The sequence below is a fragment of the Homo sapiens genome, chromosome 7 (genome assembly GCF_000001405.40).
Source record: "Homo sapiens chromosome 7, GRCh38.p14 Primary Assembly".
NCBI lineage: Eukaryota > Metazoa > Chordata > Mammalia > Primates > Hominidae > Homo > Homo sapiens.
This window is the reverse complement of record NC_000007.14, coordinates 114,527,017-114,551,906: the sequence shown is the minus strand read 5'-3', so window position 1 is coordinate 114,551,906 and position 24,890 is coordinate 114,527,017. Positions and strand designations below refer to the sequence as shown.

At 33.3% G+C, this 24,890-nt stretch overlaps 1 protein-coding gene across 8 annotated transcripts in view, besides 1 other annotated feature; it reads right to left on the bottom strand.

Annotated features, from left to right (window-relative positions):
* The window catches only part of FOXP2 (forkhead box P2), a 607,439-nt gene that overhangs the window by 141,859 nt on the left and 440,690 nt on the right, over positions 1-24,890 (bottom strand). For 6 of the 8 annotated variants that reach the window (NM_148898.4, NM_148900.4, NM_014491.4 and 3 more), the window contains one exon: positions 17,201-17,290. In NM_148898.4, coding sequence (NP_683696.2) covers positions 17,201-17,290 — 90 coding nt within the window. Of the gene's footprint in view, positions 1-13,523; positions 13,582-17,200; positions 17,291-24,890 lie in introns of all 8 variants that reach the window. The other 2 variants (NR_033766.2, NR_033767.2) reach the window with 1 other exon arrangement.
* Positions 12,059-12,353: a silencer, noted in NCBI's record as "tiled region #15446; HepG2 Repressive non-DNase unmatched - State 13:Ctcf". NCBI's record gives its function as "represses a minimal TATA promoter and a strong SV40 promoter by Sharpr-MPRA in HepG2 cells {active_cell/tissue: HepG2}" and the evidence as "EXISTENCE:reporter gene assay evidence [ECO:0000049][PMID:27701403]".

Here is a 24,890-nt window from a genome sequence, read left to right as displayed (position 1 = left end):
TATTTGTCATAAAACGTACTCTTAGATACCTTTGCTAGTATGAGGGTCCACCTTACAAGTATTCTGATTTTTCTCATGTTAAAACAGCACCTATTACTCTAGTGTTAGTCTCAGTAATGAAGAAAAATAAATACCTGCCACTCTTAGCATGATAATCTTTTTAATGTAAAAAAATTATTAAAATACTTTTCTACATTTTTCTCTCTCTTTTTTTAAAAAATATCTGGTAACCCTTTTGTGATACTCTCCCATTTTCCTTTTAATCACCTCTAATCATATTACTTACCTCAGACTTGTTTTCATACTTAAATATCCCTTTTAAATTCTGGAACTCAGACCTAAATAAGTTTTAAAGAACCACAAACAAAGCCTCTGGAGGCAGAAAAATGAAGACTAGCTTATTCTGCTCATCTGTAAGTGATGGGTAATTCACTAAACACAAAAAAGAGAAACCCAATTTATTCCATAGAACACTCTAAAAAGCCATAACTGTCAAGCAGTTTTTTTTTAACCTCAAACCACGAGTTTTGTTTAAAATGGCTTAGAAGAATGGTTATTATTCTGAATTTTTATCTAGCCAGATTGTCAACTCCCTGAGGATAGGAACATCTTTGAATCCCCTATGGTACCTGGTGTCTGCCTGGCAAAGTGTCTAACATACCGAGGGCATTTAGTCATGTTTCTTTGATGGATTGATTGAGAATATAAATTCTAATACATGGAAATACTGTAAAACAGTTTTGCAAATCATGCTGCTGTTTTGTGTGTAGTTTGTGGTTTTTCCTCTGGAGCATGATAATCATTTGTTTCACATGAAATTCTGTGGATTAGCTTTTCAATTTATTTCTACAATTCTCCTGAACTCTCTTTCTAGTACATAAATATCTACTTGTATGGAATATCAAGCAAAAAGGTAGAAAAAAAGATTTATTAGCCACTTCTGCTTTAGTCTAGCAGTATTGGAAATTATTGTATGGAAACGCCAAATAACATAACCATATCAAACACTAACATAATTATTTCTTATTTGGTTCTCAAAAAATATTGCTTACTATCAATTATTCTTAGAACAGATGTTTCTTTTAAAGTAATTTGCATTAGCATGATACTGTAAATTAAGGCTATTTTGACTATTTAGTGATGGTAACATACATCTTAGCACTGAGTAACCCATTTATCAGTGCTCCATCAAGAACTTTACCATAATGCACATTGCTTCCAACAAGTTCTGATGCCCTCAAGGAACCAGAAATCACTAGAGTGTATCAGAGTCTCATGCATATGTATATGTATTTCTGTACTTCATTGAATAACTTCAATGTTCTAGCATTTAACAAAGGGGTTGCAATATGGAGCTTGAAGACCAGATTAAACAGTGGGCTGATTTTTTGTTTGTTTTTGACTTGTGCAATGAAAGAAAGAAAGAGAGAGAGAAAAGGTGGGAGAGAGGGAGGTTGGAAGAAAGAAATACCTTCTTCAAAAGAAAGATGAGGCCGGGTGCGGTGGCTCACGCCTGTAATCCCAGCACTTTGGGAGGCCGAGGCAGGTGGATCACGAGGTCAAGGGATCGAGACCATCCTGGCTAACACGGTGAAACCCCGTCTCTACTAAAAATACAAAAATTAGCCGGGCGTGGTGGAGGGCGCCTGTAGTCCCAGCTACTCAGGAGGCTGAGGCAGGAGAATGGCGTCAACCCAGGAGGCGGAGCTTGCAGTGAGCCGAGATCGCACCACTGCACTCCAGCCTGGGCGACAGAGCGAGACTCCATCTCAAAAAAAAAAAAAAAAAAAAAAAGAAAAGAAAGGAAGATGAGCTCTCAATGTACAACATATTTCCCTCTCCTCATTACCTTGCACCCAGTCTACCATATACCTGCCTTGGTATTAAGAGTTTAACTTACTGGCCTATGAGACACAAAATGCCTTACTGCAAATAAATATTAAAATTAAAGTTAGAAGAAACCACATAAAAGAAAAACTGATAAAAACAGGTAGACAAACCTTTCATAACAGTTTTGCTACAGAGAATAAAAATGATGTCGTTATTGGCCTATTTTATTTGTTTTCCACATTTATAATGTATTTCTTTAAAGAAAGGTTTATTATACTATTTTTTTTTAATTTGAAAGACAAAATCCAATGGCACAAATTCCACAAACCACAAGTTTAAAAAAGATGGACTAAGTTCATTTTAATTTCATCCTGGATAATTACTGGAAAGCATGCAAGACCTATTATGAGAGGTCTGATTATTAAAAATCATTATGCATTTACAGCATCTCAGGGCCAAACCAATGACTAATTCTTATTCTCATGGTGCCCTGGATGAAGTGATGACAAACATGTCCAAGAATAATCCTGGTTTGGCTGGGCAGAGTCACATATAGCATAGAGACCTCACATTCTTCCTCCATCCTCCAGAATGGGGCAGCCTTGAATAAGATGTCAGCCTTTACAGAATAAAATATTTCTGCCCTTCCTGTCCTCCTTCTATTCCCCCAAACCAAGAATTCCCAAGGATATGATTCATTTATTTCAAATATACCCTGAAAAGAGTGGGGGAAAAAAGAGACCTTGTAATCGGACAGAACTGAAGTTTGACCCTAGGTACTTGGGAAATGTACTAAAACTTTCTGGCTCTCAGATTCTTCAAAAGGAATATATGGACAGTACCAATCAATTCTGGGGTTTATGTGGGAACAAAATGAATGATCACTGGGGCAAAGTATCTGGATCGTAGAACACAGCAGTATGTGTCAATGGAAGTTTGGGGTAAGAGAAAGCAAGGTTTCCTTGAACCTTCTTCTAGGTACCCCACAAGTATCAATTTTTGCAGTATAGGTGGTTATAGTAATTGCTGCAGGAAATACAGAGAATTTATGGAACATGTCTTACTTCACTAAAGCTGGGAGGAATGTTAAGACTTTCTGAAGTGTTCCAGTGATACCAGAATCTAATATGTAATAGCTAAATGAAACATTTTTCTGCTCTGAACTTGTTTAAAATTCATCTTCTATGATTTTTTCCCCACCCTTCAAAAAACATTTGCTTCTCTACTTGCAAAATATGCAAACGTTTCATTTAGTTAAACTATCCAGTGTTTGTTCCACTGCTTACATATGTTCCATCAGAATCCCTCATCAGCACTGCCAACATTCAGCAGTAACTTCCTGGAGGGAAAGAATCATCTTTGCATAGTTTACTTTGTATTGTTCTTTACCTAGTGCTGAGTATATACTGAGTCTTTAATAACATTTTAAGTATAAATAAAAATATTAAAACTTAAAACCCTATAACCCACTGAACTTTAGTCACATTAATACACAGGTTTGCATATTTCTAAATTTTCCTAGAAAACAAACAAACAAAATTTATTTCACTAAAGTATTTCAAGTCATAACATCTCTTTTCACATATCCCTAGGGTCCCATGAGTCAGTACTAATATATTTGGTAAACTATTGGTTGCAGAAGTTGCTAGATGTTGGCCCAAAATTCATCCTTCTATTTTTCTCTACCAAAAGAGCCCCAACTTTGTTCAATGTGACAAAGTGCCTGACTAAACATGATCAGCTTCATAGACTCAGCTGAAGTGATGGGTATTCATATGATATTGTTCAGGATGGTGAAAGAGAAACAGAAGTCACTGTTTGAGGCTTCTGAGAAAGCTGGTTATTAAAGGGGACAGCTGCAGCTGGTCTGCACCTATTTTTATTTTGCCCTTTCTGTTTTGTCATTCCCTTCTTTTTGCCTAAAACATGGGCATAATGCTTGGAGGAAGGAGAGTTATCTTGTGGCCATGAAGACAAAAGCTACATAGGGGCAGAGCAGGAAGCTAGCTAAAAGGAACCTTGGTCCTCTGTCTCATCCTTGAGCAGTTGTACCAGTCAGCTCTGGACTACTTGTCTGTGGAGTTCATGTTTCGTGACAAAGATAAAATCTATAATCCTAAACAGAGTAGCTAATAAACTTCATAGTAAATTTAGATAATATTTTAGTGGAAACATATATAATTCATGTGGCTGAGGCAATAGATATAATTAAATCATAAAAATTATATACCAATAAATCATGTAGGAAGTATAGTTTCTTGATATTTGAGAAACCCTCACATCATCTTACTTGTAATCACATACATTTCTTTTTTTTTGAGACGACGTCTCGCTCTGTTGCCCAGGCTGGAGTGCAGTGGCATGATCTCAACTCACTGCAACCTCCGCCTCCCGGGTTTGAGAAATTCTCCTGTCTCAGCCTCCCAAGTTGCTGGGATTACAGGCACGTGCCACCACGCCCAGATAATTTTTTGTAATTTTTTAGTAGAGACGGGGTTTCACCGTGTTATTCAGGATGGTCTTGATCTCCTGACCTCGTGACCCGCCCGCCTCGGCCTCCCAAACTGTTGTGATTACAGGCGTGAGCCACAGCGCTGGGCCAATCACATATATTTCTAATACCATTTTCTCAAGCAGGTATCTCACTTCCGGTTCCCTAGTGAAAGTATCATTGATACGTAGTGGCATTAGAAACATGATTAATATAGAGCAATGAGGAGTGTATTTTGTTCAGAAAATAGGTAGGAAGTAAGGGATTTATTGTAAGCAAACAATGTGTGTATAAAATTCATAAAACAGAAGATATAATCAAAGAAGAAAATATTTAGATAAAGATAAAAAAGAATCAATTGTTATTGCTAAAAAAAGTATGTTATATGCTATCTAGCCAAGAAAAGGAATCATTAGAAATAGTATTTCATAAAGAGCCTGCCTAACGGAAGCAGACAAAGTAGTAATATGAGAGAGAGTTGGGTAATGTGACCTGAATCATGTCTTCTAATGATATTCATATCTGCTTCTAAGTTTTTTTCTACAAAAACAGACAACCTGATAAATTATCATACTTTAATACTTGTTTCATCAGTTGAATGGAAGTGATACTGTAGTCTTATAGGACGGAGAAGGAGCAATACAGTTTACAAAATCCAATTCAATTTGGCAAGAATTTTATTTAGCATCTACCATGTGTCAAGCATTGTGGTAAGAAGTGAAGTTATAAACATGAATAAAATGCAATCTCTGACATGAAAAGATTTAGAGTCTGCGATTGAGCTAGAGAAGTAATCAGATAACTGTAATAAAATATGGTATAATCTATCTTTGTAACTAGTATATTTGGGATAATAAAATAAAAATGCAATTCTGGATATTCACTTGTGTGAGGAGGGATTTTTTTTTTCTTTTTGATGCATCAGAGAAGACTCCAGGGATTAGGGGCCTCAAAGTATGTATAGGAGTTTGCCAATCAGATAAGGGGTGTTGGAATGACCTTCTAAACAGATGAGAAGCAGGAACAAAAACAAGTTGGTATCAAAGTTTGCATAGTTAATGATGCCCTGCAAAATGCCTGGCATATGTAAAACAACCTATTCATTTGTGAATGAATGAAGGAATGAATAAATGAACAAATAAATAGTATGTTTGGAGAGCAGTAAGGATTAAGTCATGGTTGTAATGTATCAGGTGTATGATGGTGCATAGCACCAGTCTACGAAAAGCCTTTTGTGACATGCTGGGGTTGAAGAACAGGGCAATTTTTACATGATTAGGGCAGAGGAATACGACACTAACAGATCAGAAGGGCTTAATGGCTGGAGTCTACACAATGGCGTCAGGAAAAGCTGATGAAAACATTGGACTGGGTAAGGAAAAACAAATAACTTCACTTTGTAACATGTTGATCTAGGTTGAGATGCCCCAGTAAGCAAGTGAAAAAACACATCTGGAGCCTAGGAGAAAAGAGGGGCTTGATAGAGTTATATACAAACACTGGTCTATAGACTCAACAAATTTATGGAAAACCTATGATGGGCCAGATAGTGGAAATGTGAAGATGAATAAGGCACAGTCTTGGCCCTCAAGAAGCTTATAGTAATTATGATTCGGTGTGATACATATAAGAATAGATGCATTAACAAGACATATAAGTAATATATGGAAGGGAATAATTAATTCCACATAGTGTGTGTGTGCTGGTGAGGATGGGGAGGATATTAAAGGAGACTTCACCAAGTAGTTGACACACAATTGAAATTTAAAAGATGCAAAAAAGATTTCTAGATGAAAAGGTGAAGAAAGCCCTATTGAGAAAAAAGAAGGGAAGGCCAGCTGCATGGAGACATGAACCGATGTTTGAGTAACTATAAGTAGTTTGATATTGCAGCTCATATAACATGTAAAAACCAGGTAATGGACAATGAGATCAGAGTGCCAGAGCCATTGCAGCAGACAACTATCAATCTATTGATTGATACTATACAATCCATCTTTTCTTAAGGTTTCTAATACCAAAGGGAAGCCCATTGAGCGTAGCAGATATATACTGAGGAGTTTAGGATGCAGATATTATTTTAAAAAATTAAAGATAAGAAGGGAATGAGTTCATTACTGAAGATTTTACATAAGAAATCATAATAGTAAAAATAAAATTCTGACAATATTGTTGGAAATGATCCTGAAAAGGCTGATCAGAGAGAGACATCTCAAGAAACCTGCTCAGAATCCTTTTTAATTAGTTCAGATTTAGACAATAAATATATAAACAAACAAAAGTTAGTGCTGGGATGAGATTCAATAACTGTTGCATCTGGAAGTAACCTGAAGTATCACTAGTTCAGCCTTTTCATTGCAAGGGTTGGAAAACTGAATCCCAGAGAGGGAAAATCATATAGTATATTAATAGAATTTGGGGTTCACTGTTTTCTTGTTCCAAAAGAGAACAGTTCAGGGTTCTTATATACTACTCTGTAGGCCAGCTGTATTGTAAGCCAACTGTATTGTATCTCCTGGAGAGTTTTAAATATCTTTATTTCCAAAGATTCCATCCCTCGTTCCTCAATTTTAATTCAGTAGTCTGGGATAGACCCAAGATCTCCATTTTTATAAGACTTGCAAGTAATTTTTTAGACTTGAAAATGAATTGTATAAACATCCTCTAAGACTGTGTATGGCAGTGGTGATTGTTATTGATTACGGAAAATAAATTCTCCTGAAATGAAGGAAAACTTCAAATGATGGCCATGATTTTGAGAAACTATAATTTTAGTCATAGTTTAATCACCAGTTAATATGTTTTAAATGCTGGATACTATGGGAAGAAGGTAGAATGTAGAGAGAATAATTTTGTCTTTTATGTTTGTTTGCTTTTACAGAGATATTCTATCCAAGAATTTGCTACAGTCTTTCTGTGAGACAACAGATTTCTTCATGTCAGCACATCATAATGTTCAATGTGTTCCTTGGTTTGTCACTTGAGAACGTGCAGTAGCACTAGCAGTAGAAGATGTCAAGGTGGCAGCTTTTACAGCAATGCAAGTGTTAGCATTAAAAGTGTAAGGATTTATATACTATGCAAAGGAATTTTCTGTGTATTTTGTGTTATCAAAATGCTTAACTATTAGGTATTAAAGGTTCTGTGTCTATACTGATAAAATTTAAAACTGTAAAAATAGGCACAATCAAATAACAAACTTTAGCCACAGCTTGATGTGATTCAAGACCTTTAACTGGATTTAGACAGAGGCTCTCTAACTGGGTGGGGGCAGGGTGGGGGCGCATAAAATCCTTAGTTCAGAATCCCTGAACCAAACTAGGAAACAATGAATGGCCATTAAAGTCTCTACTGATTTACTCAATATTTGTGAGAGGTCTCTTCACACTCAAGACACGGCCTTTCCCTATTCCCTTAAAAAGCATGCTAGAGGCTGGGTGCTGTGGCTCATGACTATAACCCTGACACTTGGGAGGCTGAGGCAGAAGAATCACTTGAGCCCAGGATTTAGAGCCCAGCCTGGGCAACATAGTGAGACTTTGCCTCTATTAAGAAAAAGAAAATGAAGAAGAAAAAGAAAAAAACATGCTAGGCAACTTTTACTCTGAAGGAACATTTCCCGGTAATTAATTGATGCCAGTGGAGATTTACAATTAAGGAGGATAAAAATTTTAAGACAGGGAACTTCTCTCAAGTCTTCAATAAAATAACAAGGAAAGTAGGGGATACTTGTTTGTTCACTTTGGGTGAACATAGATGAGAGATGGCAAGATTTGGTAGAATAGAGCTTTAAAATTCACAGATGTTATGGATTTGTGTGGTTATTTACATGTGATCTCTAAGTCTCTAGACATTGCACCTGTGCAGTTCTTCAAGCCATGAAACAATCAAGTAGCTAAAAAGTTGATCTGGTCTTCAGATTGCTGACTTCTCACACACATAACCTAATTCCTAAACTCATATGGATTTTTCTATCACTAATGTAGCTTTGCTGTTATCTACCTCACTAATGTAGGAGAACCTATAATGTAAAAAAGTTTCTTTTTTGAAAATTTAAAATTAATCACAGGGCAAATTTTATTGAAATTTTTAAAGTTGTTAACTTGTATTAGACTTTGTATAAGGCAATGGTAGCTTGGTTCAAACCAAGGACAGTATACAAGAAAGTCTGCACAAACCTCACCAAATTTTTGAAATGGAAATTTTTTTTAATTTGAGGATTCATGAAGATCTATGGGTATACACATTGTGAATGTTGAGGGTCTACTATAATTCTACTATAATTAGTTCTTATGAGTGGTTTCTACCTCATCTAAACAGAGAATACAATTTTCATTTTGAAAAATCCACTATACTATAGTAATTTATTAGCATTTATCAAGTGCCTTTGGGAAAAGGAACTTAGTGACCAAACATAATTTAACTTAAAATCATGTTAGATTCTTGTAATGAGCTTATATGATTTTCATATTAAGATAGGGTGACTTAAATATTTTGAAAGAACAGGCCGGGTATGGTGGCTCATGCTATAATCCCAGCGCTTTTGGAGGCCAAGGTGGGTGGATCACTTAAGGTCAGGAGTTCGAGGCCAACAGGGTGAAACCCCGTCTCTACTAAATATACAAAAATTAGTTGGGCATGGTGGTGCATGCCCGTGACCCCAGCTACTCAGGAGGCTGAGGCAGGAGAATTTCTTGAACCCAGGAGGCAGATGTTGCAGTGAGAGGAAATCTTGCCACTGCACTACAACCTGGGTGACAGAGTGAGATTCTGCCTCAAAAAAAAAAAAAACAAAAAACAAAAACAAAAACAAAAAAATTTATTCCACATTTGTTTCATCTTTCCAAATGCTGTGCTTCCAAATTCAGCATTACTAAAATAATCACAATCAGCACAATCTTAGATGTTCTTAGAAGAACTGACCATTTAATACAACTATCCCAAGCAATTCTAGTTTAAATATTCATTTTGTAATAGATTTTCTGAAAAAGCAGACCAAAAGATTAAGGAACAATGAAGCCACTCTGAAGACAATTTTTTAAAAAGCCACTATAAATGTCATAACAGGAGATTTCTAGCACTAAAAAGAAAAGGAAAAAGCCTTAGGGTTCCAGGTTCTTCTAAGTAGCTGAGATACTCAAGTGGAGAAGTGCTTTCCTATTGAAACTCCAACTTAAATAGCACAAACTATTCTTGGTGTAAGACAAGAATTAAATATTAGATACTGGATTGTAAGAATGGGCACGGTTTTATTTTGTTAGTAAAATGATATGTTAGAATATCTTTTAGGTTCATGATAGAATTAGATAGTTACAGATATTTAAAGTTTCTGTGTTCTTATGGGACCAAAGAGACAGCAATAAAGTAAAATAGACAAGATTACATGATGAGAGAAGAAAATAAAATGGTAAAGGAGAAAAGAAAGCAGTAGAAAAGGTGAAGGTAGCAGAAACATTTTAAGAAAACCAATAGAAATGTGGAAGGTGGGTTGATAGAAATATATAAATAGAATCCACAGAGGAAACACAAATAATCTTAAATGTAAGTAAATTTCAAAATAATTTTACTTTTTGTCTTTAATCATGTGCTGACACTGTTCTTCACTTTGTCATTCAATTTAGCTTGTATAACACTTCCAAACATCTTAAGATAAAATTCACAGCCTAAGTCTTAAATCCTATAGAGAGCTCCCATAACAATATTAATGTTCTATTTCTTTCTTGCTCTCACTTTAGTTAAGGTAGAGAAGTCAAGGGAATATATACTTAAAATCCTAATGGATTACAGAAAGAAGCAAGTGCTTGGGTAGCTAAGAAAAGCGAAAATTTGGCCTCCTAGATAGCAAAGTTCTTCCATATTTAATTTATGGAAGTTCAGTATTATATATGCAACATACATTTTCTTTCACTGCAATCTGAGAAGCAAAAGTACATTTATTAATTCCCTATTTTCTATTTATCATCCATGTTAAAGTATGATTTTTCTCTATTCATTATTGATCACATTACTACTGCAGATCCTAAGAGTTACTGATGAATGATGAAGAATGAGGGGGATTTAAAAGTATCTGTGTTGCAATCAACTAAACAGTGTTTATGCAAAAATGTTCTCCTTCCTGTGGACATTGCTTGATGTGGCTGAAAAGCCTTAAATTTTATAAACTCCCCCTTTTGTTGACCTTCCTTAATAAATCCAATGCTAATTTGATTGCTCTAGTCCCCTCTTGTCTCTTCTGCTTTTTCTTCTTGCTCTAAAAAAATGTGAATGTTACTGAGCTCCTCTTTTCAAATTACCTTTTTCAGAAATCTCCTCTACTACCATGGATTCATCTATCACTTCTGTGTTGTTCCCCAAATGTTTCTCTTTAGTCTTGACCCCTCTGTCAAGCTTTCTTTCAAATTTGCTAAAAGCTAGCTATTTCTACTTTCTTGTCTTGCCATCTCCTCAAACTCAACATGTCTAAAGCTTAAGTCATCATCATGCCTACCTAAATAGTTTTTAAAGGATTATCCTTATTCCAGGTTTCTCAGAATTCCCTTCCCTGAAAATATCCTCCAAATGTTCCATTGCTATCTTCACAGACCACTGCTTTGATAATTTCACTTCCTCATCAAAAAACTTTAATAGCCCCTTCTACCCAATCTATAAAATACTGACTTCTTGGCTTGACATTTTAAGTTCTATACAATCAGCGATGTGTATTTCTAACCCCCAACCCATTCATTATTACATTAGTATGATATCTCTAGGCTGATCAAAACAAACTACTTACACTTGCCCAACCAGATCTCAGAATTTCCTATGTCTACATCTTTGATGACATCTTTAAAAAAATTCTCCATCAAAAATTCCTTTATCTACCAAATTCCTTTTCTTTAAGCCCAACATACATGCTACCTTCTCTACAAAGTCTTCCCTGACCACTTGTAGCCTGAATTGTTAATTTTCTTTTTTAAATGCTTATTGTTCTTTCTGTTTTTCCCATTTCTACAGCACATCCACTGTGGCCAATAATGTTTTTATTTGTGTGCAACTCTGAATATCTCCTCAACTAAGTCATAAGTCCCTGAGGACATTACACATGATAAATAATCACTCAATTTATACTGAATGAATGGATGTTTTTTTTCCTCCTCCAAATCTCCTTTGCTCCACTCAGCACAATCTCCTCCTTATTCATTGTTTCAACAAGTTTATTTATTGAGCTCTATTATTCACCAAGCACTGTGCTAGGCACTAGAGAAGAGCAGGGAATTCATGATTCCTGCTGTCATATCGCTTACAGTTTAATAGAGAAGATAAACATTAAAATATAAGTTTATGTTTGGAGAGTGTGAAGTGTATATGTGGTGGGAGCCTATAGCAGGGGAAAACACTCTAGTATTCCTTAAAACACACAATTACAACAAGGGCATACTTCAAATCATTGAAATAGCTGGTAATAGTAACAAATTACGGCCAAATGCTATGATATAGAATATATATCATAACCTTGAATTAAATACCAATTTCCTGGAGGCTAGCATAATGGTAATTATTTATTAACTCCTTATCCAAGGATTTACGGTAAGTACTTTATATAATATAATTTTTGGTCTTCACAGCAATCTTGAAAGGTTGGGTATCTTTATTCCTATTTTAGGGATGAGGAAACAGGCTCCAAAGAGATCAGGTTATTCTATCCAAAGCCCTATTAATGGCAAGGGCAGGCTTCAGATCTGAAACACATGGTTCTTTCTTCTATATGCCATGAGTAGATCATATGGTAAGTTTTCCACACAAGCATGCTTAGTAGTAATGAGCTCAATGTCCCAGACCCTCCTCCACAGGGTGTCAGCCTTGAGCAGCTGGTCATGGATAGAAACATCATCATAGTTTAACAAAAATTGTATTCTATAACATTCTTTTAAATTTGCCTATTTCATGCTGCTTTTAAGAAATGTTCTTCACTGGAATGGGAAAATAAGAGCCACACAAGACATAGTCTGTTCTTGTAAACAGTATTTGAATTAAATTCTTTTTTTTTATGATCAAGAAATAATGTATTAGACCTCCTGTTCATCTTTCAATACACAGAAAATATAAATAGTAAAGAATATCTTTAAAAACTTATTTCTAAATTTCTGGCATCATAATAGATCGCTCTATTTAAACCCGTATCTCAATTTTTCTGGCAATGCTGCTTTTATTTGGAATAAAATGTGGTTTAGCTTCTCTCCACTTCTTCTACATTATATTTAAAAGTAATATTGAAAAAGAAATATTCAGTTTCATTCTTTATCGCTACATAAATAAAATGTTATCATTTCCTAAAATACATTTTGTAATGAGTGATTCTATATCCCATATAAGTTAGTATTTTCCTCCAGAATATTTTACAAATTATAAACTTTTATAACTTATTCTTGATTTTTTACATATGATATGGAATTTCAGTATTGATAATTAGTTTACTATAGAATTTCTGGTTTTGTCAGCTTTTGTTATTTTTAACAATTTGGAATGAAATAGTAAAGTAAAAATAATGTTAAGTTGCATTATATCAAAACATTTCAATGTAGATTATTAAAGTAAATACATTGGTTAAATAATTTTTATGTAGCTTACATTTCTCATAAATTCAATTTATAATATTTCAAGGCATGAAACAAAACAAAGCTTCCTCAGATATACAGAATTATATTTGCGCAATGGTTTTCCATACATATGGGCTTTAATTCTTTGTTTCCAAGGCACGGTTTCTGGATGGGGCATGTTAATAAACAAATGTTTTGTAACAAAAACCAAGCAAACAAAAACATAATCCTTACTTCATAAGCTAATATCCAACAAGATATACCCAATCCTGAAAAATTAAGATACCTCACTTACTTCAAAATGAAAACAAAATAAATATTTAACCATGGAATTTAAGATCTTGTTCATCAGTTAGCCCAACATCTTTATTTTAAAGATGTCAAGTAACTTCCTCAGACTTATATAACTATTTGTGGCAGAGTCAGAATAAGACCCCCAAGTTTAATTCTCTTTTGCTTTTTACTATTCCATTCTTGAACTTCTTAAGACAGAATTATAAAAATTTTATAATTCAATTACCTATTAGAAAGGAGAACTTTATATTATATATTAACCTACAATGAAGGAAGTGATTACAATGCTAAAAACTAATATTCATCTAAGATAGCAAAGCAATGGCATTTACCTTAAATTTACGTCTCTGCTCTGCACAGCTGTTGAAGAACCACAAGTCTGTCTCATGGCTGTAAATGTAACAAGAACAATAATGCGACCAATTTTCATATCTAAACTAAATTAAGTAGATTTGTCATAGGCTAGAAAATTGAAAATGTATTTTACAAAAATTTTTTTAAATTTACAGATTATGGAAGTGTGCATGTGTGTATGTGCATGTTGGCATTTATGTGTGTGTGGGGTGATGTGTTAACTTACTCTTTCTAAACTGAAAATTAGTTTCATGAAATTGAAAGGATTAAGTATTATTCTTTTTGGCTAACTTTCCTCATTATGGATCACTATGAACATATCAAGTCTAGGAAGTGCTAGGAGTAGATTTAAATAAATAAAACAAATTAAAGTGAGAAGCTGTCTTTGGCTGTTATTATTAGGATATGTTTTCTGGTATACACAGTAAGAATGTAAAGCAGAAACATCTGGTAATGCTTAAGTTAATATTGGCTCCCATTTGCATCACAATCTTTATATATTATTCATCAATATGCCATTAATCAATGTACTTGCTGATTGCACCTATTCAATTGGTGTTTCATGTAATGAGATTATGTAAACATGTTTCAAATACATATATTCAGATATCTATACATGAAAGTGAAATCACTACTACAATTGGCACTCAAGCTTGTCAGATGTGATGTTTTCTTCTTTCCATTTTGCATTAGACATGCTAATATCTATGCCATCTGTAGCACAAAATCCTGAACAAATGTAAATGAAAAAATAATAGTAGATAAATACTAGTCTACTAAAAATAGACTCTGTACCATGTCACACTTCAAATCTGGCCACCACTTCTTAACAGAGAAAAGAAATTCAGGTGAATGTTAACAAGCAACTGAATATTGTTCTTGTGACTTGAGCCATCAAAACAGGTTTTGAAATCTGTATTTTCTTTCAAACTTTATAAAATAGTTCTCTATCAAAACTATACTTCAAAATAAAAAATACAAAGTATCTCTTTTGGTTCTCTAAAGATGTTATGCCTGACATATTAAGAACCATCATAATCGATTAATACCAAATATCTTGCCTTGCACCTACAGATTTTGAAACATTTTCAATTATCCTTTTGAAATGTAAAGATAATACACTAACTCTATTATGAATGTTTGGTTAAACACTTGGTTAAGTAGAAAAAGATATAAATTTTGAGAGAATTATATAAGAAAACTTTTAAAATGCTAATTTCATATCAAATTATTGAAAATTTTAATGAAAACATCGTACCCTTTTTAAAAACATAAGTGGCAAATAGTGCAACTCATGCTAAATAATATTTGAAGATACAAGGATAAGCATTACCTAATATTCCTGTTTGACAACAGATGTGTAAGCTAGTATCAAATGCTGTTAAGCTTTTATTGGAGTTTTAATACAATCCCAGCGTGTCTCCAGTTGCTAAGCTTATCAAGTCCTATGAAATACTAAAAATGAAGGCTCACATTTTATTAATTGCAGTGTATATTTTGGTGAATAAGTCTCATTCAATATCCCTAAATTCTCATTCATAAAACTCAACTTCTCGTTCCTATGACATTTTGGCATGAGATCTCATTAAAATTACAAACTAATACTGAAATGCTAGTTTTACAGTCTAAACAATGGAGATAAATTCAGATTAATATGCATCACAAAATGAAAAACAAGTGACACAATGAAAGTCTTTGTAGTCATGGTCAGCAACTGCAATTGTTAAAAGGTATTTATAATAGTTTTAATCATTCTTTTATGCTAAAACAACAAGACTGGACACTTCTGCTCAAAATTTTACTTCTGCATTGATAAACAAACAACAATTTCTTATTTTAGAGCCATTAATATTCCCACATTCTATTGTGGGTATTTTGTAAGGAAAAGTACGTATATTTTAGTCCAAGTATCAAATCTTGCCTTTCAATGCAACAACAACAACAAAAAAAAAAAAAAAAAAAAAGAAAAGAAAAACTAAAGCCCAGCCATTCTTTCCAGAGATACCCTGGTAACCAGCAATATAGAAACTTCTACTGGACTTAGCTTTGGAGAGGAAGAAGCAACTGCGAATTCCTCTATTTTGTCAAGAAATATGATAAAATAGAATTAGGAAAATATATAGTGTTTTTTAGACACTCAAAACAGTAACTTCATTCCTATCTTTTGCTTATGTTGCCAGCATCTAATTCTCCTTTTCTATTCCAACAAGAAAGCAAAATTCCCACTCTGAAGCCATAGTGAGGATAAACATTTCATTTGCTATCTTCTGTGACTTCTATGTAAATTTTTCTCTGTCATGTAAATGCATGAAGAGACTCTCATGCAATCAGATAACTCCATGGAAATACTACACCTACGCTCCCATTATAAATTGGGGAAGAATATGATGGTGAGGAAAGTGACACAGAATTATTCATTAGTTAAAACAAAGGAATGTGAAGTTGCTTTTAAAAGAGAAAAAAAAACTGAAAAGAATCTTAAACTCAGGGTGATTAAATAAAACTTTCATTTCCAGTCATGGCAGACATCTGTACTCTGTTGAAACATCCCTTATCCCCAAGTCCCTCTTCTTCTCATCCACCCTCCACAGATGACTTTGTTCCCAGGAAAATCGGTTCTTATCTCAAATTTGTTTAGGGACCATACATTTTATCCAGTTTTTAGGTAATAACTAATTTTTGGATTGTACAGATCAGTAGCTTATAATTCTCTCTTATACAAACTAAGCTCCAGAAGGCCATCATGTAAGACTTAGTTACTAACATCTGTAAGTACACCTGAAAATAAAAACAGACAGCTGGGCCATAAAAAATTGTTTTGTTTTGTTTTTTTTGTTAAAGCCACAAGAGATGTTAAAAAACTAAATTTGCCTTATTAGACATGTATATAACACATGATTCAGGAAAAAGCATTACTTATCTTTCAACAGAGCTGGTGAACACTTTGAGAGATGTTTTATGCAATTCCAGAATTTACCTTCCAAACAGTCAAAAAATATACCTTAAAAATGTTTCCCCCCCCACCAAGAAAATGTCCCACATATTTTGGTTAAGAAGACTGCATAAAACAAGGATTATATTATGTAACAAAAGTTACTTTAAAAGACATACATACTATCAGTTTCACAGGACAAACATAGTGAGTAAGGACAACAAACTCCAGAATGTGTTTTTATAACTGTAGCACCAGCAATAACTCCTTGGCAAACTCAAACAGTTTTTTTGGCAATCCTCGAAGTTTTCTGCATTTGTCACTTGGATACAACTGCGGAAGGGTTGTCTAAGACTTCTTTGTTTCCTTCCACACCATTTTACTATAACTTTGCTTTTAAGAAAAAAATTTTACATTTCAACCTATGTATGAATAAAATCCCACAAGGGGGTTTTATGCAAAATTCTTTATGCCTATGTACACCAAATATGGTTCCTATGTATTTTTTGCAAGGAGTTACCTTGTAAACTTTTAAAATGTATGCCAATAGAATATTATTTTTTTCTCCTTTAAGAAGATAAAATGAATTCTCTTTATGAATTAAAATTACCTACATATGCAAATGTAATAATTTCCTGTATATATACAAGTGGGTCTGCACATCTGTTATCATTATGAACATCTTTTAAAATAAGACCCCAAGGACAGGAGTGCTTTACTAACCTGCAGTGGTCTCTGTTTATCACTGCTCTTAGGAGATTTCAATCCACTTGTTTGCTGCTGTAAAAGAAGTTGTCTTGCTGCCTGGAGAGCCTAGAAGTAAAAATGAAACCTTATCTAAATATTTTGTTGAAAGTTAAGTTATCAATTATCTCTTGGTTAATAGTAAAAGGCTTCAATGTACAAGAACTCCCATATTCCTTTCTAGAGAGAATCATTGTTGTTTATCTTCTAATATGAAAAAAATTGCCAAACACACATATATAACTTTTTACTCCAAATCACAGAGAAACATGCAATCCTACAGGAAATAAAGTTAATTTGTTTAAAGTGCTTAAAGAGGATAAAAATCATAAACTGCATCAATAACCTCATTTCCACAAGGAACTTGTCTTTGAGTGTTAACTAAAATGCCCACTCCCTTTTAAATTATCATTCAATTTGCATTTTCATATTACAATTTTGAGGCAAAAGCAGTAGACTTCAAGTGTTACCGGAAGCTGTAATTAAATTTGACAAATCAACATCAGATTATCTTGAAAGTGAATTAATAAGGATTTTCACTAAAGATTAAAAACACTTTTTTTGTACTTACAATTCAAGGGGAAACCTCTCCTTTGACAAAATAAAGTGCAGTTTTAATGCCAAATAAAATTGAGTGGTTTTCATTTGCATTCTTAGCAAAATCAGAGAACAAAGAAATTACCACTCAACCAATCAGGTTTGTTTCTATGTGTGACAGAATACCAATCAAAATAGAAGATGTTTTCATTTATTTTTATGTTTTCTTTCCCACTTAGGAAAATAAAACTTAACATAAGAAATTAATGTAAGCATTTCATTTACTGGAGGAGGAACAGTTCAGTAAATGTACTATATAAACTTAACATATAAAAGCTAGTGCCATAGACCAAAATGCATAGTAAATTCTTCTAAAGGTAGGAGTATACACTAATTAACAAAAACTTTTAAGAGTCTCTTAAAAAATTCATTTTCTCTCTCAACAACTGAGTTCAATGAACACTAATGATGAAATTTTTCAACACATAAAACTAAACTAAATCATTGGCCTAATATGTTATTTACTGTTTTTGAATACAAGATAAATTTTTCACAATGAGAAAACATTATTGGATTAATATTCCTATATAATAATTAAGAATTTCAGCTGATAAAAAGTACAATTTTGATTGTAATCAATGATCTGGTTTTTAAGAGAGTTTCTAGTATCCATGACAACAGTTGCTTTGACAAGATGTGCATATGGCATTACACTGCCAGCTGGTGTGAACAATGTTTGAACTACTGCATTGAGATGCTGAGCAAACAGAAAAAGTTGCCACGTCTTAACCCTCAGGGAAGGCAGTCATCCCCTGATCAATTATGAAAAGACAGAGAGGGCTGCTACAGTCTGGCTCCAAGCAAGTTTTCTGAGAAGGCAGGCAGACATAGAAACCAAAGTAAACAAACTGAATGCACTAGCACCATCTCCTAACAACATTGATTTGTCTTCCGATAGCAGGATCTGGCATAGTTTGTAAAGCACACTTTTTACATTTGGAGACACACTCACTCACGATAATCATCTTTGTTGTTGTTTTTTAACTTTTCAAGTAATTACAAATTAACGTAAATATTTCTAAGGATGGCACATTCCAGTGAACTCAGGCTATTTATTATAGAGCTCAGTTTGAAAATACAAACAAAAAAATCTGTAATTACTTTATTATCACAAGGCTCACTATTTGAAACTTTTTATTCAATATTCTAAATAATATATCTTTCCTCTTTTAATTGTAACTTATAAAGTGACTACAAATGATAATTTTCCAAATGGAAATTACAATAGGTGTCCCAGGCTGTGTCTCTGAAATTCTCAAAATAAAAAATGCATTTGATTATTTTTCCAGTTAATGCCTAATTGTTTTCATGTAGTTTTTTTTTCTTTTCGAGTTGATGAGTTTATTTTGTATACCTGTTGCCTTAATTTATATTAAATTATGTAGTTATCTATTTATTATTCTTTAAAAAATTTATTGAACACTGTTTAGGATCTTAGAATCATGAATGACAAGGACTAAAAGCTATCTTGAAAATCATCTAATCTGACCTCCTTATTCTAGCACATAAGAAAAATGAAACGTAGAATAGTCAGTTGCTTTGTTCAAGATCACAAAGCAATTTATGAATGCTTTGTTCAAGGTCTGCTGGCTTCCAGGCCTGAGTGTATTCCAGTGTGCCATACTGTTTCTGTTCTGTCAAAGGAATCATTAGTAGGCAATGAGTAAGACTCTAGTAAAGGAGAATATATGACATTATAATGAGTTATTCTTCACTAGTAAAGAGAGCATATTCATTTTTCAGACTTTACATGGGAAACAACAATATAACCTTTTTGTTTTGAATCTGTAAACGAATAGAACAACTATCACACAATATATACTGTTTTAATGGCTACTGCCCTCATCATCCTTAACTCGGATTTCATTTTATATTAATACCTCCCTTATGCCTGATGGAACTCTAAACTTTTGTAACATCCTGAGTATCTGATCAATTATTACTATAGAACTGCAAAATTCTAGAGCTGGACAAGGCCTTAGAAACTGTCTAGACTACCTTTCTCAAACAAGTAACTGAAGAAACAATACTAGGATGAGTTGATTGAAGTCACAAAGCAGTAGCAGAACCTGGTCAAAAACTCTGGCTCTTCTCTCCCAAGCTCAGGACCCCATCCATTTTACCAACCTGCGTTATATTCATTCAACATAACCCATGTAATCAATGGAATATGTCAATGCTACGTAATGTCTGTAGACAAACACTAGAAAATTAAATATATTACAAGTTTTGCTCATCAAAGTATCACTAGTCAAAAGCATACACCTACACTGTTAGTAAAGGAGTAATAATAGTAATGAAATATCACAAGATAGCTGGCTAAAAAAATGCTTCTACTTTAAAGTATTTTGGTTTTCATATGCATTATCTCCAAAATAGCTGAGGATCATCTTTTAATACAAACTCTTAGAAAAAATAACTTCTTTCCTATTTCAACATTCTTTTGGTAGAGTAGAGACTGCTATAGTAAACATAAGAGGTGGGAGAACAAAAAACAATTCTAGGAGATCAGGAATGATTTAAAACTCATAAGCAGAAAGCTCTGGCAGTTTGCATTCTCACTGCATGCATCATATGACATTTTTATTTCCAGTATTCTGGATAACACTTTAGGACTGAATTTCAATAAACAATTGCTCAGGTCTCTGAGCAATTAGATGACATTTAGTTCATCTTTGCAATTTATTATTATAGCCACTCAAAAAATGAAAGATTATTAGATAAAACACTTCCATCAATATAAAATGTTAGGTGTCAAATGACACAAATATTAATTTAAAAATCACTTGCCACTTCTATCAATACAAACAAAATATTAAATCCAGGGCCATTCATAAAGTTCTCTGCGCCATCTAGTCATTTAGATGGTCACCCTCCCCCACAAAAATTAATTTTGAACAAAAGCAAAAGTTGTTTACAAAATTTCCTTTCACAATGATTGAGTCTGTTTCCAATGTATCAGAAACAAGAAAGAGATTTCGAAGGCAGCCAAACCATATCTAGTTTCCAAAAACACATTTGTTTTTAATTAGGGGTGCACATTACTTAATGAAGTTATCCTATTTTAGGAAACCTAAAGAAAATTAAGGTAAGACATCTTAAAATTTGAAATCAGGTTAAATTAAAAAATTTGAAAAAAGAAATAATCTTTATAAGAGATTAAAGGTAAACATTTTGTTAGGCTGCAGAGATGTGGGAATGCACATTTTTCATAATTGAGTGCATTTTTTCTCTAAAATACTTACTGAAAACATCATTCCTAACTCTTACTGTGCAATTTTAACTAAATTTTTGTAAGAAAAGCAAAGTTCAAGCATACTTCTTCACTAGTAGTAATTTTATGCTAGTTATGAACCTCACAGAATAATTCTAATGAGTAGGTCATTGTGTAATTAACTAAGGATGAAAATGCTTTGTAACCTGCCAGATAAATACTTTTTTCCACTGAAGAACACTGAAAACTTTCACCAAATATAAAATTACTTGAGAATAGTTTAGAAATACGCAGTAAAACAAAAAAAATGTTGAGTATGCTAAGGTTTATAAATAACTTTTTTTTCAAAGTAAATATATGTATATTAGGGGAAAAAACAGACATCAGTCATATATCTCCCCATAAAAATAGGAATGCTTAACCTATCAGCCTGTTGCATTTGAGACATTAAAATGAAAAATGACATCTACGCCCATTAATATCTTCAATGTATAAACAGCACAGCGTGACACATTCTTGAGAGCTGAAGGCTACAAAATCTCTCTGAAACATAAATAACAAAGCACTCAGAAGCATATTTGATGTTGATATTCATCTCTGAGAAAAACACTGTTGCCTAGGCTTCTTATGAAAATAGATGCAGCCCAAATGGATCTCCTGTAATTGGTTTCAGATAGTGAGGTCAGAAGAAATATGATACAAGAAACGATTATGTGGAACAGGCGAAACAAGAATGTTTACACAGTCACTCCCTAGTTATACTGACAAGGGGTGTATACTTTGCAGATAACCAGAACCAAAAAAAAATTGCCAGCAGGACACCCAGATTTTTGTTCCTCATATTCATATAGTTTAACCTTTAACACATTGTGTCTTCAACATGTTACTTTGAATACGAAACATAAAATAAGTTTTCAAACAGAGTTTAATTTTCTAATTATCTTCCCAAGTGTGGTTGATAAAAAGTATATTCAGATCCTTCCAGAAAGGATATAAATTCGTATTCTGTTTGGCCTTTCTTCATATTATGTTCCCACTAAAGAGAATATACTGATACATGTAATCCGAAGTCTCATAATGTTATTTAATAGAAGAAAATTAATCATCTAATTGGCATAACCTATTTTCAAATAGCAATCTATCAGAGTGAAATTATGCATCTGTAGCTATTGACCTTTTATTTTTTCATGCCTGATACATAATTAGACTGTTTGTTTTAAAAGCTAATTATTAAAGAATATTTTTAAAATGATATTTTTACAGTATATGTTACATAAAGTTAGAAAATTAATGTGTGGATATATTTACACTGTACATCACTATGGAGGCCAAATTGAGATACTAAGACTACTTATTGTATAATAATTATAAAATAATACTACACTATAATAAGAGTACTTTAATAAGAGTAATTACTTACAAAGCATCCTATTTACCAATCAAATATCTTATGATGTAGAGCCAAAGGAGAGACAATCAGGGTATTGAATGTGTGATGGAATGGATCCTCAAGTCATCCTCAGAAGTGAGAATAAATTCTTCAAGGTTCAAGTCCAAACCCAATATTCAGTATATTTCATTATGGCTCCAAACCCCCAGATGACCTCAGAAATTCTATGAAATAAGCCTGTGAGTTAACAGTAACTAACATCTAAGACAGATTTTGTTTTTTTCAGCTGTAGAATGAGTTTAAAAGGGAGAACACATTCTCTTCCTCAGAGTCAGCATTCTATAAGGTGCAGTACATCAAGTAGCCTGATATTCCTAGCTCTATGTTCTTCACTATTCTATTGCTAATGGTAATAAATTGCTAATGTAATATCCTAATATTACCTACAATAATTTTAAATACATATTAATGAATTCCGTCCAACTTTAAAATTCTAAGGAATGAAAGGTAAAGATAAATTAGGACTGATTTTACTAAAATTATTGCTTTTACAACTTCTGTTTATCATGGGACATGTTCCAGTAACTATAATAGTTTTTGTGCATTCTTTTGATTATTTATCTTTCTGCTATAAAACATTTTATTATTTTCCCAAATAGATTTTAGATTTACTTTTTGTTTTACACATACCTTAGCAGGGTTTTTTTTTTCATTATGAGACCAATATCATCTTTTGTTTGGATATGTATTGAAGACTCATTACTGCTGTATTGCTATGATTTCAACCAGTATATCAGATATTAACTGAAAAATACATGCTACTAAATTATACTACAATATGTAAATGTAAACTATTATTTGAATCCTCTGTTCTGCATATGCTCTTCAACTTAAAAGTAAGACTGTAGGAGAAGTAGCATTTGGGAAAATATTTGGAAGAATAAAATACATAAAAGTGTTTGTCCTTAAAAATGTTTGTGACTATATCCCATATACCTAGCAAAGAACAAAGCACTGCACACTTGTGGAGATAGAAGGGGTGATATGACATTGTTTCTATCTTCAAAAGCTTATTGTTTAATAAGAAAGATCCAGTTGAATGTCAAAAGGCCATAGACAATGTTTTAAAAATGCTTCAGGAGTTCATAAGTAAAAGAAATTATTTTTTGTTGAGAAGCTCATTGAAATTTTTATGGAGGATATAATATTTGGGCTGGAGTTACATGAGAATCATTTCGTGGAGATGACAGAAGGCCATGCCAAGTAGGAACAAAGAAAATGTGAGATTATATATAGTGAAAAGAAAATAATTGATCTTGGATAGAGCATACGCTTAGTCTAGGAACTAGTAAAACATGGTGAGAAGATTGTTTGGGGCTAATTATTGGATAAACTAAACAATAAATGACAAAGAGTCTTCATGTTATATAGCAGGTAAGAACAAATTTTGCTGAAATCTGGCAATAAAATAAGCCTGGCCCAGGACAATACTGAAGTCATGTTGTAAAGGATAGATAAGGGATGAAGAGAGTGAGACAAGACAGAGGTATAAAGACTTGTAAAAACGTACGTGCAACTGTCCAAATAAGAGATAAGAATAACATGAATCATGTTAGTTCAAAACAAGAATCATGAGAGGTACTGTCAAAGAAGAGCTGGCACAACTTAGTAAATGGGTATGAGGTAAAGGCTAGGAGGAGTCAGTGATGACTCCAAAATTGTAAGTCAAAAGAAACTGAAAGAACAGCTGCGCCACTACTAAAAGGGAGGAAATTAGATTATAAAACACAGCCTTTGGAGAGAAGATTATGCTGTTTGCCTGATGGCAGAATAATCAAGAGAAGATTTCTTTAGTAGACAGTAAATATAATGCAGAGCTCTAGGTTGAGGGTGATCAGAGTGATCCCACTGACAACAGATTTCCAAAAGTAAGACATAGGTGAATAGTTAAGGCAAAGGGAGTTTATTAGATTGTTGGTAAAGACACCACAGAGAGAGGAAGAGTCAAGACCCCAAACTGCAGAATACTTTCTTGAAAGGAGATGAGGAAATAGTGAAAAGGAAGACAATGAATTGTGAGGACGGCACAGTAATAGAAGTCCAAAAGATTTCTGGAAAAGGTTAAACAAAGAATTACCACATGATCCATTAATTCCACCCAAGGTACAATATATACCCAAGAGAAAAAAAAACTTACATTCCCACAAAAAGTTGAACATAATTGTTCATATCAACATCATGCATAATAGCAAAAGATGTAAACAACCCAAATTCCCTTCAACTCATGAATAGATAAAATACGGTATATTTATTTAATAGAATATTTGTCCATAAAAGTGAATGGAATATTGATACCTGCTACAACATGGATAAACCTTGAAAACATTATGCTAAATAAAAAAAGTCAGTAACAAAAATCATATACTGTATCATTCCATTTGTATAATATGCCTGGAATAGATATACCT